General features: G+C 42.5%; 1 protein-coding gene across 6 annotated transcripts in view; it reads left to right on the top strand.

Annotated features, from left to right (window-relative positions):
• Positions 1–15,291, top strand: part of PTPN14 (protein tyrosine phosphatase non-receptor type 14) — a 202,903-nt gene that overhangs the window by 153,422 nt on the left and 34,190 nt on the right. For all 6 annotated transcript variants that reach the window (NM_005401.5, XM_017001941.2, XM_024448759.2 and 3 more), the window contains 6 exons: positions 180–268; positions 3,195–3,282; positions 4,404–4,486; positions 7,136–7,193; positions 11,259–11,337; positions 13,393–14,870. In NM_005401.5, coding sequence (NP_005392.2) covers positions 180–268; positions 3,195–3,282; positions 4,404–4,486; positions 7,136–7,193; positions 11,259–11,337; positions 13,393–14,870 — 1,875 coding nt within the window. The remainder of the gene's footprint in view (positions 1–179; positions 269–3,194; positions 3,283–4,403; positions 4,487–7,135; positions 7,194–11,258; positions 11,338–13,392; positions 14,871–15,291) is intronic.

Here is a 15,291-nt window from a genome sequence, read left to right as displayed (position 1 = left end):
AATGCCAATTTTATTCTGTTTTAAGGCTGAATGGTACTCCCTTGTACACACATGTACCACGTTTTCTTTATCCATTCATCTGTGGATGGACACTCAGGTCGATTCCATATCTTAGCTATTGTGAATAATGTTGCAGTGAACATGGGTCATCACAAGTATCTTTTGTTGGTCTTACCCAGGACAATCATGGAAACTGTGTACACCTTGGCATTTTCTTTATGGGGATTTTCGTGAGGAACAGAATTGGAAGACAAGCGGTAATATACAGGTAGTCTTATTTGTTTGTTTTTCTTTTTTCTTTTTTACCTTGAGGAACTGTAATGTTAATGTTACATTAACATCCAAATGAGTTAAGAGCCAAACTGTGGATAAGATTTGACTTCTCTCAGCTCATATAAGGTGAGCCCTCTGCAGGATTTAAGCAGTTAAATTCATCTCACTTTTCGTAGAAACCCATCCCACCTGATTCCAGGAACTACATTGTTGAACTCTATTGAGTTAGAAGGATGAAACTAAACTTCGTGAGTCTGGTTGAAAACTGGCTCTCCAGTCAGTCATTAACTCTAAACACTTCTTTCCATTGTTCTGAACCACCTGTGCCACAAGAGTGCCAACTGATTTTTATGTGAACAAAAGGTGATTAGTTTTAAAAATGTGTTTTGAAAAAGCAATCTATTTATTATGATGAATTAGGGGGCTTTGGTACTTTTCATTATTTTGACACTTCAGTCCTCTTTTCCATTTATCAGGAATGGCACCAGTGTAGAGATGCAGCCATCTCCCCCCTGCATTTCATGTCAGTATGCTTGCTTTGTATTGGTGCCCATAGATTTTATCATAATGCCAATGATCTGAAAAACTGTGTTCTAGCTTTCATTTACAAGGGCAACATGGCCCATGATTGGAAGAACAGCTTTCTTGTATGTGTGTCTGAGGCGGATCTGTGTATCCAGGGCACACTATCAAAGATAGCTCTTGGAGGCAAGCATAGCCCACCTTCTGGAAGTGACTCTTAACTGGCCATGTACTCTCTGGATCAGTAACCACAGCAGGTCATTTTGAGACAGTTTTCTAACCAAAAGCTTCCTGGTAGGCTTTTATTTTCCTAGATCCCCAGTCTGTCATTGTTTTTATGATATTCTCTTGCTCTCTGAATAGAGACATTATTGAAGCAGGAGTGACAAGAGAGATCTTTCAGGCTATAGAATAAATTTTTTGACTTTTGGACTTACTGTCAGCTCCATATATCTGCCACAAAGTATAAATTAATTGAGGAAAATATGTAAATATGTGCAGAGTTGTAACTATAAATTTTTATACCCATTCAAAGCTATCCAGGCATTGAGTCCTACCAGTTCTTCATAGTTAAATCAATGTTTCAGTTTCTGTTTGAACCTACAGCACAGCAGAGAAGTAAACAAGTCTTGCACACCAGCTACTGAAGTGAAATAGAAGAAAATTGCAATTTGGAAATTTCATGAGCATAAGCCACTCACAGGTTTTGCTTAGTTTCCTTAGAAACTGCTTCCAGACCTTTTCATTTATCTTGAAACCACTACAAGATGAGAATTCACATCTACTGTAGTGTCATGTTAATTATACCACTAGATGAAGTCATGTGGCGGGGCTCCGAGTATATCTAGGATTTCAGCAGTTGATTTGAAGGAATGAGGCCAGAGGAAACCAAATATCTCTTATCTCTAGAGACCTTCACTAAGGAGCATGTAGCTATGAGTCCACGTAGATGTAATCTGATAGAACTGTAGGTTGTGAAGCAAGCTGGGTGCAGCACTATTAGAGAGTATTGCCCCAGCAGAGGTACCTAAAAACATTTAGTACTGGTATAAGGGAATGATGACTGGAGGAAAGGCTGGAAACCCCAGGTAAAGAGCTCATCCATCCTTGACATAGAGAGTAAACATGCTAAGTCAGGTACTTATTTGTGTCTATATTGCCTCATTTTTAAAGTAGGAGCAAAAATAGCTGCCATAAAGAGTTGGTGTAAGAATCGGACTCTATACAGCTAAGAGACAATATTATTGCTTTTTATTCTTCTAGCAGACATTTATTGAGTGCTCTGGGCCAGGTACTCGATTCAGTGCTTGGAACACAGAAACGAAGAAGGCAGAATCCCTGCACCGGGTATGGGGCCTGTGGTCTGCTTGGTCTCATCAGAGATCTCATCACAGAAGTAAAAATTATAATGCAATGTGGTGACCGGTAGGGGACTGCAGCAGGCTCTTCTCCTCACGTGTGGGTAGGGGGATATGATGAAGGGATTCCTAGAGAAGGTGACTCCCAGAGCTGAGTCTCAAAATTATTATCCAAACAGAGGATGGTAGAAGTATTAATGAGCAGACGCATCATATGAGTGAAAAAGCGGTGGCAGGGAATTACAGGTTGGGGCACCAGGTGAAGGGTAAAAGATGGTTAGAAATTGGTTCCAAGTAGGATGGGAAGCAGTAGCTTATCTTTCCTCATCTGGTGCTTATTTTGGTGTATCTCCTTTTAGATAAGGTCTCCATGAAGACAGGGAAGGAAACTCTGTGTGTGTGTGTGTGTGTGTGTGTGTGTGTGTGTGTGTGTGTGTGTTGTTGGGTCCCAAAGTGTAGGCACATTAGAGAGTCAATTAATTTATACTTAGTGGCAGGCATATGGAGCTGACACTAAGTCCAAAGTCAAAAAGTTTATTCTATAGCCTGAAAGATCTTTCTTGTCATTCCTGCTTCAACAGGCGTTTTTTCTTAGTGGCATCATGAATCTGTAGTGCATATTGCAATACAGAATATGTGGATTCTTCTATTTAGGTTCCTGGAAACACATGATTTTTAATAATATGTGCTCCTCCATCATTAAAAAGTGGTGGTCATGGGAAATGTTTTGTCACTTTGGAAATGTGAAAAAATGGGAGAGGGAGAAGTAAAAGTCCCTTGCAGATTTTCCTCATTGCTAGTCACAAAGAAAACTATAGTTTATAAATAGCGATGTCTAGACGTATTTTATGTAGAATTTTTAGCAATTTGAATGGATATGTGTTGCATTTTCTTTTCTCGTTTGAAAGAACATTTCACTTAAAAAATAGTTAAATCATAGTTTGTTAAATGAGACTTGATAGCAGCAAACAGCCCTCCTCTGCTGTATCATAAATGCCTGGAACATTGTTGAGTAAACACAGTGACATTTCTTCTAACCAGGTGGAATGACATGGGGAATATCACTCATAACAAGTCGACCATTCTAGTGGAGCTCATCAACAAAGAAGAGACTGCCCTCTTTCACACGGTAAGCACAACAGACAAACAGTCAGGGTCTGACAAGACACTGGCTTTTGGACTTTTCAACTCCTAATGTCCTTTCCTTGCTCTCCCTATCTTGAGATAATAAATACTCCCTTGAAGAGATGCTTTCTAATACTTGGTCAGTGCTGTCATTACTCATTCCAGGATAGTGGTGATGAAATACCCATGTTTAAAATACCAAGTTTCTGGCTCATGCCTGTAATCCCAACACTTTGGGAGGCCGAGGCCGGTGGATCACTTGAGGTCAGGAGTTTGAGACCAGCCTGGCCAATATGGCGAAACCCCATCTCTACTAAAAATACAAAAATTACCCAAGCATGGTGGTGGGCACCTGTAGTCCCAGCTACTCGGGAGGCTGAGGCAGGAGAATTGCTTGAACCCAGGAGGCAGAGGTTGCAATGAGCCAAGATTGCGCCACTGCACTCCGGCCTGGACAACAGAGCTAGACTCCATCTCACAAAATAAAATAATAAAATAAAATAAAATACCAGGTTTCCAAGCTGACTTTTGACTCTAGGACTCTGGTCCCTCCAACTGCCTTATGTGTGATGGATCACATTGTCTGGTGTGCCGCCTTCCTCAGCACTCTAGTTACAGCCCTCATCTAGTGACCCCTGATTCTATTGCATTCCATTTGCTTTTGCTGGAGGACCTAAGTTTTCTTTCCCATCATAGCCTTAGCTTAATCTGAAGTAGCTGAGGGACTGACCTCCTGTTGAGTGCCTCCTCGAGAGCCAAGGCATCTCACTGCCTCCAATTTAAGAAGTCTGGTGTTTATTCTATGCTGTGCCTTGATTCAGTTATTTATTTTGAAAGCACTTGGTCGGAAATTACATAAAGACATGCTGGTTCATCAGTGTAACCCCAGCACTTTGGGCATAGGGATTCCTTAGCAGACAGCAGGTTCTGCCACTCTTTGGCAGGCTTTGTAGGCATAGCTGCTGCTGAAATTCAGCAGGCTGGTTTACCTTGCTGGCCCATGTATTATTTTGTGCTTGAGATGAAGGTTGGAAGGGATGTGTGTCCCTCCTCAGAAGAATCTTAATGAAATGTATAACTAATTCAACAAATGTTTATTTTTTTCTCTGTCTCTTCTTTTCCAAGGATGATATCGAAAATGCCAAGTATATTTCTCGGTTGTTTGCCACACGACACAAGTTTTACAAACAAAACAAAATCTGCACTGAGTAAGTAAACATTTAATCCCCCCCGACTTGATGGCTTTGTCAGATTAAATTAATGTCCTTTTGGGGTGCTGTAGATCTCTTTTCCTATTCACTCTTTTTCCTTGTTCCTTGTAGAAGCTAATGAAGTAAGCTAAAGCCAGGGCAGGAATGAAAACTTTAATGATGAAGACTGTCTAGTGTCGTGCATATGCCTAGAGAGAGAATAATTCACAAATTGACTGTGAATGCTTGGCTGCCTGGATGGGTTGGCCCACATTAGCGCCTTTCCAACCCTCTGCTAGAAGTTTGGAGAAGCGGTGCAGTTCCCAATTTGCCAGGGTGCCCCTTCGTGTCAGACGTGGAGTGTGTTCAGAAGTGGGTAACAGAGTGACGAGCTAGCTTGAAAGAGAAGACGCTCCTGTCATCCTCAGCCCCGTGTCGCTTACACAGTTGGCTAACCCTGCGTGTGCTCCTGGGTCATGTCATCTGACTGTAAATGAGAGGCCAGGGTAATTAGAGGAAGATGTGGAAGACACTCATAGGTGTCACAAATCCGTGTGTATTTTTTTAATTTAATTTGGAAATAAAGATGATAAAGAGGCGTGTGATGAGGGCACTTAAATGCGGCCTGACCTCAGATGGAGCGTGCTGGGGCTCACTCTATCGTTGTCTTTTTCTTGGTTACCTTCAAAAGACGTTCCTCAGCTGAATACATTCAGCGGTTTGGGCGCCCAATGTGTTTAATTTTGTTTCAAAGAGCGTCAGGGTTATAAATGCAAGAGAAGAACTGCTTTTCCACTCCCACAGTGGACACATCCGAGAGTATGTAGAGTATTGTCCTAGAGCAGTTCCTGCTGAAGAACGCGGCTGCTTTATAGCTGGAGCGCCAGGTCATGGCAGACTTTTTTCTCCACACCGTGGAGGCTCTTTCAAGCCAGTCACTGCAATTGGTCACTGTCGGGGTCTGAAAGTATGTCTGACAGTATTAGGCCTACCTGCTTGGTTTGCAAATGTGAATCAGAAGAAGGCCTGATCGGGGAGTGGCAAGTGAAGCGGCTGTACGTTTCTTCTAGACACATTCTCGCATGTGCCGCACCACACCATTCTCTTGAGCAGGTTCCTGATAGGTCACTTCTGTGTATTTCTACTCTGCTGTTGCCTTTGACTTCTGGGGGTGTCTTTGACATGAACAAGAATGCTATCCTTGACTTCTGTAGGATGAATTTAAAAACTGAGAACTGGATTTTACTCTTGTCTTCTGATTTAACCACAGCTCAGCAGATGGTTTTACTATAAAATTTACGGAGTGTTTATTTTCCTTTTGTGGTCGTTTCCTTCAGTATTAGTGAACATCACATATTAGTCTGAAAACTAAGAAGAAATTCTGTTTCTCAATTCTGCTTCTGTAATAACCATTCCTTTCTTCTTCCTAACCAAGTATAAGAGGTTCCTAACCTCTTACCTGATTAAAACCTGGGGCACGCTCTCAAAATTATACTCTCTCTCGCTCTCTCTCTCTCTTTCTCTCTCTCCCCCATTAAATTCCATATGCAGTTCAGCGTCCCAGCACGATGTTATGGCCTGGGGCATCCCTCTGGAGTTCTGTGAACTGGCATAATCTTAACAGCATCCTTCTCCATGCATGCACAGCAGCATCCTTCTCCAGAGGGCGATACTCTCTGACCTCTAAAAGATCGTTATTGATTTTTCTGCTCCTGCAGAGCTGCTGCTTGTCATCTGGAGGTATAGCTCAATTGAGTGGCTCCTCAATTTCTTGTTATAGGGAGAAAAATTAGGCGGCGGTATATATAACATAGGTCTGATAATATTGTATTATTTAGCCAGTCATTTAAAAATCCACCATTGCTATATTACCTCCATCATTTCATAAAAGATATTTTATCACCAAAAAATTAGGAAGGATGAAATCTCAGAATAAGGAGAGTCCTTTAAATTGAAGAACTTACCTTAATAAAAAACTGTACATGTCCTGGGTTTTTTTTTTTTTTTTATGGTAACACTGAGAATGAGGGAAAGTATTATAGCATTTGGGACCTGTTGCTTGAAGGCGTCTTTGATTTCAACTCTAAAGAATTTGCTAATACTTCCAATTCATTTTTTAATCTCTACATTTAAAAATATGTTGCTTCTTAGTCTGGAAAATATCTGATCAATGTTTGTAAAATGTGTTATCTTAATAAAAAGTATCTTTATATGGTCACACTAAAAATATTGTATCTATTTTGTATTTTCATTTGACTGGAAGTATTTTAAAAATATTTTTTCTTGCATTTTTTTTAAAAACTGTGAAAGATTTTACATATATACAACAGTAGAAAGAGTACAATTTTTTAAAATCCATGTAATAATGGTGATATTTTTCAGTCTGGCTTATTTCCCTCAGTCTTTCTATAGAAATAAGCCTCCATTGGTTTAATATTACTTTGTAAAATTTATTCTAAAAGTATCCTTATCCGAACATTTTGAAAATAAAGAAAAACAAAGCAAATCAAGATTGTTCTTAGTGTTACCACCCAGAAATAAGCCACGTTTATGTTTTGATATAACGATTACCAGTCTTGTTTATTCTCTTCCTCTCCTTCCCTTGTCTATCTGGTCTTTTTATATCAATAATAATAACCATTCTCATTTTTTCACCTCTTCATGTAGACAGTCAAATTCTCCACCCCCCATCAGACGCCAGCCCACCTGGAGCCGATCCTCTCTGGTATGTATAGAAGCTGCAGTGATCAAGTGATCTGACTGTTGAGCATTCTTTGTTATTAATTTGAGGTGGGGGGATGATGAGGGCATCATGATGAGGTGAAATTTTGTGAGAACACAGAGGCGTCATTCTGTCAAGCAGATGCGATGGACACCCGTTTTGTCCCCCTTGGACCCATCCATGCCCACCACTACTCTAAGTGTGGCTGAGGCTGAGGGTTTACCCTGAGAGTAGGTCTTATTCCAGGCCTGTGGGACCATGTTCCATCAGCATACAGCCCATGGTGTGTTTTCATTCCCTTGCTCATCTGTTCTGGTTGTTGTGTGAAGATACATCTTCAGTTACGAGCTCCACAAATTCCTTTGTGTTCACTGCCGTAGAGAGAGCTTAATAAACTAGTGAGAAAATGCCTTCTAAATGAGCAAAAATTGAACGGATCTAGTTGATGGTCTCAGGCAGAGTATCTGATGGGGAAAATTGATTGCATATTTCCTAATTTTAGGCCTTTTAAAAAAAATCAGAATTCCAAAGCACTTCCATAATTTTAGGCTTTAATTAGCCAGCAGAGTTTGAATTGACCTAGCTTTAGCTGCTGCTTTGTTGTTTGTTTGTTTGTTTGAAGCTGCTCTCCTCATCATGTGAATAAGGAAACACAATTAATTTCAATGCATGTGTTCTGTCTTAGGCTATGTTTTATTTTGAGGATTACTCAAGGATAACAGATGTTAAGAATTGGTTTTCTTTAATGTTTTCCACTTGTTTTAACTCACAATTCTTTTATTTTAGGTCATGATTTTTTTACACAAAATCAAAATAAGCATATGACCTTTTAACTTCTCTAGATCAACAATTCTTTCAAGCTGATAGAATGCAATTGAATTTTTCTTCATATTCAGTGTATACACTATAGCATGTCTTTAACTTGTCTTTTGAAGGGAGCGTTTTGAGAAAAGTTTATTTCCTTGAAAATGCTTAGATGTGGACTCTGAATTCTTGAGTTGAGTCATTATATTATCGCAGTAATTCCTGAGTGCCTGTGTGAATATTATTTCTCTCAGTATTATGCACAATATCTCACATGTGGTCCTGGGCCCTGAAAATGTAACAGATACGTTGGGCTTTCCCCCGAGTACCAATAGATTTGTTCATGGCACTGATTTATTTATTCTTCTCCTTTATGAATGTTATCTTCCTTTTCCCTTCTTTAGAGTATAGATGTCTTTATTAGCAAAATAATTTTTCATTTACACCCTTGAAACCCTATGGGAGGCAAAGTGTTTTAAAGCTCTCTTGTGATCTTATCTTGTCCTCATTATCCAGAGAGGATGCAGAGGCTTACCTATTTTATTTGGATGAAGACAGTTTATAGGAAGTCTGATCCAATTCATGGCTTCCCCCTTTCCCCTGTCCTTTAGGTTTAAACCATTTCACCAAGAGTTTCTTACAATGAGTGAGTAAGACCAAATAACACTGTCTCTTGGCTTCCTTGCTGATAACCAGGACTTCTCATTGCTGTTTTTCACCTGCCCTCTTCTGTCTATATTTTGGCGTCAAGTTTGTTTCTCTATTAGCAGGTCTGGGAAGAAATGGAATAATGTATTAGAATATATAACGAGATGAAATAAATAATATAATCCTGAAATGATGTTTGAGGGATTAGCTATTATTGTCCTTTGACAATGCTGTTTGTGAACTGGCATAAGTCTGCTCATTTATGTCAGTTCATAAACCGTAACTTACTTATTGGTTTTTTTTAAATAAGGCAAGAAAACACAGTAAACCAATTTTGCCTTGCTGTGTATTTCTATTCCCTTGTACAAATCCCTCCCCACTGTGTTTTTCTTTAAAGCCTTAAAATGGTTGTGCTACCATGGAAAAATTTAGTTGAATTATGTATTGCCAAGAAAAGGAAAAATATTTTTAAATTGCAACTCAAAAATCAGCCAAAGGGAGACTTGGGAATATAGCACCTTTTCTTTGGTAGGCCCGAACTGCTTTCTTAGATTGATTTCAGTTCTTCATTTCTTCTGTCTTGATTCCTTTTAATTCTTGGATCCCTTTTTTTTTATTACCCCTTTGAAGATCAAGCATTGTTTGTGGCAAAGAAAATGATAGGTGAGTTATTCACCCAGCTTCAAGCTCTTGGCCAGTGCGTTTCTTCCATTGAGGGATGCTGAGAAAGTGTGACCCCTGCTGGATTTGGGTTTCTTGGTTTGATCTGAGATTCTTCTCTCAAAATAGTAACCTTTAAAATCTATAAGGCTAATAGAAATATAAGAGATTGGCTGGGCACGGTAGCTCACACCTGTAATCCCAGCACTTTGGGAGGCCAAGGTGGGTGGATCACTTGAGGTCAAGAGTTCAAGACCAGCCTGGCCAACATGGTGAAACCCCGTCTCTACTAAAAATACAAAAACTAGAAGGGCCTGGTGGCACAGCGTCTGTAATCCCAGCTACTAGGGAGGCTGAGGCATGAGAATCTCTTGAACCCGGGAGGCGGAGGTTGCAGTGAGCCGAGATTGTGCCACTGCACTCCAGCCTGGGCAATAGAGTGAGACAATGTCTCAGAAAATAAAAAAAAAAAGAAAAAAGAAATATGAGAGATTATCCTGTTCGGTGGCTTACAAACGTAAGCGTTTTGAGGGTTTTTTCCCCCGCAAATCAAAACTCTTATTTCAAACAAATTCTTACCTGGAACCTCAGTACATAAATAAAATGGAGAATGCTTGAGGTAGGGGAAGAGAGGAGCTTGATTTGACTGACGGGAAACTGAGACCGACTGAGGTTAAATGGCTTGCTCTAGATTACATTAGTGCATAACCGTCTTTCCTTTGTTGGTTCACCAAATATTTAATCCATTGAAGTTTTTTTGTTTTGTTTTGTTTTGTTTTTTTCTCTGAAAACTTGTCCCTCTTCCGCAGCATGAAGTTATTCAGGTTCAGTCTAAATAGCCATCTTTAACAGACTGTGGAAGATTCTGCACTGCGGTGGTGGGTAGACAGGGCCCTTTGCACACTTGGTTCTGCAATGGGGAAGGTCAGCAAGTGGTCTTGACAGCTACACACTCATTGTTGTGGGCCACATTTTAGATATTTAAATAGATTCACCCTGGGCTCAGCTTAACACTAACCCTGTTCCTATTTAAGGTTGATGTGGAGCTGTGAACTGGGGTCTCAGGCACAGCTATGTTGATGTGTAGGAGCTTGTGAATGGAATTTTGAGAACAAAACAGGTGTCCCCCTTATTCTCATTTCTGAGATGGGTTATAATAATTTACTTTCTCTTTCTTTCTTTCTTTCTTTTTTTTTTTTTTTTTGACGGAGTCTTGCTCTGTCGCCAGGCTGGAGTGCGGTAGCATGATCTTGGCTTACTGCAACCTCCGCCGCCCAGGTTCAACGACTCTCACGCCTCAGCCTCCCAAGTAGCTGGGACTACAGGTGCATGTCGCCACGCCCAGATAATTTTTTTCTTTTTTTCTTGGAGACGAAGTCTCAATCTGTTGCCCAACCTGAAGTGCAGTGGCACGATCATGGCTCACTGCAACCTCCAAGTCCCAGGTTCAAGTGATTCTCCTGCCTCAGCTCGCGAGTAGCTCGGACTACAGGCATGCGCCACCATGCCTGGCTAATTTTTGTATTTTTAATAGAAATGGCATTTCAATGTGTTGCCCAGGCTGGTCTTGAACTCCTGAGCTCAGTCAATCTGCCTGCCTTGAATAATTTACCTTTTCTAAAAGTTATTCTTGTGAAAGAAGGCATAGAGAACTTTGCAAATATATTAGAACATAGATAGTAAATGGTTACATTTAGTCTTTGATGGTGACCTCTTTCTCTTTCTGATCTTGAACCAACTTCATTTCTCCCTTACTGTTTCTCCAGTTCCAAACTTAGTGATGAGATGGGAGTGCAGACGGGTAGAAGAAGGTTGAGTCAAAGGGGTGGCAGGGACAGCAGCTGCCACGAGCCTCCCTTACAACGTGGCGGGACTGCCGTGTGCCTGGGCCGGCTGTGTGAGTCACCAGCCGTGTCTGCCCAGGCCTCCCCACCTCCTCTGTGTTCTCTGTTTCAGCCCAGGCAGCAGCCGTACATCCTGCCTCCCGTTCACGTCCAGTGTGGTGAGCACTACTCGGAAACGCACACCTCGCAAGGTAACTCTGGCTTGCCGTTCTCCCTTCTTAAGACAAAAAGTTGAATACCAGTAAGCAGTAAAGAAGGCTTTAAAAAAAAGATGACAGGGATGCTTTCTTTTCAACTTTGTCATCGTCTGAATGACAGTAGCTAACAGCTTCAGTTTGTGGAAGGCCTAGACTGTCAGTTACCTCTGATCAAAAAATTTCCCCAGTATTGGCTGCTCAGGGAGTCGGGGCCAAGGCAGCGAGCAAGTCCTTTTCTCCTCCCTTTCCTAAGGGAGCTTAGAGAAGAGAGTATGACAGCTCAGCCCAAGCGAATGCACTTCACCTTCATTGCCAGTATCAGAAAGCTCGTGGCAGTCACTCAGCTTTTCATGGTGACGTAGAACACGGGCATGCAGAATAATTGGAAGAAATAAACAAAGTCAGCCTTTTCTTTTAGCTGTTTTTCTCATCTCTTTCTCCAGCCCCTTTCTTGGTACACTTGCTTTTTTCTTCTCTGAGTAAGGTAAATCTGTTTTATTCCTCTCTTTCTCCCAAAACATCTCCCATGCAAAATGTGTGAAAAAGCTTCTTCTGCTAGTAATGACTCCATGATAACAACTAACATTCATAGAGCAATTGTGGTATTGCTGTAAGTACTTGCTATATATTGTCTTATGTCATCCTTAAAATAAACCTATAGGTACTATTATTATTTCTATTTTACAGTTATAGAAATTGGAATACAGAGAGATTAATGATGGAACTTATATATGAAAATCGGTAACTTGTAATCGTTATGCTAACTGCATTTCAAAAAGAGAGATGGTAGAAAACCGTGGATGTTGGAAATGTAGTAAATGGATAATATAGTTTCTACGTTATCAACTCCTGGCCATTTTGAATCCTCTGCTGTCTGAAAGTGTGAGCATGAAAACCAAGACAATCAAGACTATTTAATTTAATAAAAATAGTACTTTTTATAAGGAGACTGGCAAAGTTACCACATTTCTATGGGAAGGCGCCAAACCCCATGGGAGGTGGATAAATTGCGGCACATTTGTCTCTGTGTTCCCCCTGTTTTTTGTGCCTGTCTCATCTGATCAGATCTCTTTCCACATTCTTCCTCTTCAGACAGTTGAATGTCTTCAGTCACCTTTTCTGTTTTTCACCTTCTCTGATTTTCTGTTTCTCTGTTTTGCTCATGTTTAAATCTGTAGTGTGAAAATGAATATATTTTGGCCACAGAAAGGCAAGAGGTTGCCTTCCTTGGGGTGTGTGTGTGTGTAAGAGAACACCAGACACCTGATTGTAGAAATCAATCAGGTTGGGCCTGATTGTAGAAATCAATCAGGTTGGGCCTGATTGTAGAAATCAATCAGGTTGGGCCTGATTGTAGAAATCTGCTTTTTCTCTCTTTAGGTACCTCTTTAAACTATAATTAATTTTTACTTGAATTGACCTAAGTGATGAAACCAGATCTAGAGGGGATTTGGGGAATTACCAAAAAGAACTCTTGATTCTAATTTTGCCCTTTATTGCTGCTCAGGATGAACTAGCTGTGCGGACACCCTGGCTACATCATTTGTTTTGTGTCTTTAGAATGCCCTGCAGTCCCCTGGGTGAAGGGGCTTTTTCCATTGCCGTCAGGAAGAGCAGCTCTGAGCACTTAGTAATTGAAATCTATTGCCCTATTAAAGTTCTTGACTGTCTTGTCTAAATATTCAGTCCTATTGCCGAGCCCTGCACAAGAGGACAGGCCTCCCCAACTGGAGGGCTGTTGTTGGTGCCTGATTTCAAAGCTTATGGCAAAATTGAGAACTTCCTCAAGCGACACTTACTCCAAATGTGTGCATGCCTTCTTCCATTAGGTTCCCTTTTTCTTTTCAGTATGTCTTAAGGTGTTCTTTCTGTATGTTGGCATTTCATCCAAGATAGTATCTGTTATTCTATAGAACATGTGGGTGGAGACCATGGGATTTCACTTTTTATGATTTGTTTAAATTAAAAGTCACCTCATGAGTATGAGGATGTACTTTGTTGTGGCAGGATGGCTTGGAGGTTCACGTGCCTTTGTTTGACTTCTTGTAGACAGCATTTTTCATGGGAATGAAGAAGCCTTGTATTGCAACTCTCACAACAGCCTGGACTTAAATTATTTAAATGGCACTGTCACCAATGGCAGCGTGTGTAGCGTTCACAGCGTCAACTCCCTCAACTGCTCGCAAAGTTTCATCCAGGCCTCCCCTGTATCCTCCAACCTCAGTATCCCTGGGAGTGACATCATGCGGGCCGACTACATCCCGAGCCACCGGCACAGCGCGATCATCGTGCCCTCGTACAGGCCAACCCCCGATTATGAGACAGTCATGCGCCAGATGAAGAGGGGGATCCTGCATACAGACAGCCAGAGCCAGTCTCTGAGAAACCTCAACATTATCAACACCCATGCCTACAACCAGCCAGAGGATCTGGTGTACAGCCAACCGGAGATGCGGGAGAGGCACCCCTACACTGTCCCTTATGGGCCACAGGGGGTCTACAGCAACAAACTTGTCAGTCCATCTGACCAGAGGAACCCAAAGAATAATGTGGTACCAAGCAAGCCGGGGGCAAGCGCCATCTCGCACACGGTGAGCACCCCAGAGCTGGCCAACATGCAGCTGCAGGGCAGCCATAACTACAGCACGGCCCACATGCTTAAGAACTATCTCTTCAGGCCACCGCCCCCCTACCCACGGCCACGACCTGCCACCAGCACCCCAGACCTGGCCAGCCACCGCCACAAGTACGTCAGCGGCAGCAGCCCGGACCTGGTGACCCGGAAGGTGCAGCTCTCGGTGAAGACCTTCCAAGAGGACAGCTCTCCGGTGGTTCATCAGTCTCTCCAGGAGGTGAGCGAGCCCCTCACGGCCACCAAGCACCACGGCACTGTGAACAAGCGCCACAGCCTGGAGGTGATGAACAGCATGGTGCGGGGCATGGAGGCCATGACGCTCAAGTCGCTCCACCTCCCCATGGCTCGCCGCAACACGCTCCGGGAGCAGGGACCGCCCGAGGAGGGGTCAGGCAGCCACGAGGTCCCCCAGCTCCCTCAGTATCACCACAAGAAGACCTTCTCTGATGCCACTATGCTAATCCACAGCAGCGAGAGTGAGGAGGAGGAGGAGGAGGCTCCAGAATCGGTGCCCCAGATCCCCATGCTCCGGGAGAAGATGGAGTACAGTGCCCAGCTGCAGGCGGCCCTGGCCCGCATCCCCAACAAGCCCCCGCCTGAGTACCCCGGTCCAAGGAAGAGTGTGAGCAATGGGGCTCTGAGGCAGGACCAAGCCAGCCTTCCTCCCGCCATGGCCAGAGCCAGGGTGCTGAGGCATGGGCCAGCCAAGGCCATCAGCATGTCTCGGACTGACCCGCCGGCTGTCAACGGGGCCTCTCTCGGCCCATCCATCTCGGAACCCGACCTGACTAGTGTGAAGGAGCGGGTCAAAAAAGAGCCTGTGAAGGAGAGACCTGTGTCTGAAATGTTTTCCCTGGAAGACAGCATTATAGAGAGAGAGATGATGATCAGGGTGAGTGTCCTCCTCTCCCAGGGCATTTTCCAGTGTGAAAGCACATGCTTCAGGCACTGAGCAAGGGGCAGGGCTTATGCAGGGAACGTGGTAGGTTTTTAAGGAATCATTGAGCATTTAAAAGGTAGTACTTTATTACACAAAATGTTGAGTTTTTGCCCTTTCAGATAAATCTTCCATTCTCATTTGTGGCTTCTAACAGGTGTACTTGGTACGTTATTGAGGCCAGTGCCTCAGCCAGCATTTTGCTGTTTATTCAAAGCTCAGACTTCCAATTGGGTAAGCTGGTATTGGGGAAGTTCACCTTGCTGTGTCTTTTAGTGTTTTGTTTTCTTGAAGGAAAGCTGTCCCCCACATCCAGTTAGGTATTAAAGAGCAACATCCCTATACCGCCTTCTGTATAGATCCGTAAGTCAAGACT

The sequence above is a fragment of the Homo sapiens genome, chromosome 1 (genome assembly GCF_000001405.40).
Source record: "Homo sapiens chromosome 1, GRCh38.p14 Primary Assembly".
In the NCBI taxonomy this organism is placed as follows: domain Eukaryota; kingdom Metazoa; phylum Chordata; class Mammalia; order Primates; family Hominidae; genus Homo; species Homo sapiens.
The sequence above is the reverse complement of the archived record's forward strand: the minus strand, read 5'-3'. Positions and strand labels throughout refer to the sequence as shown.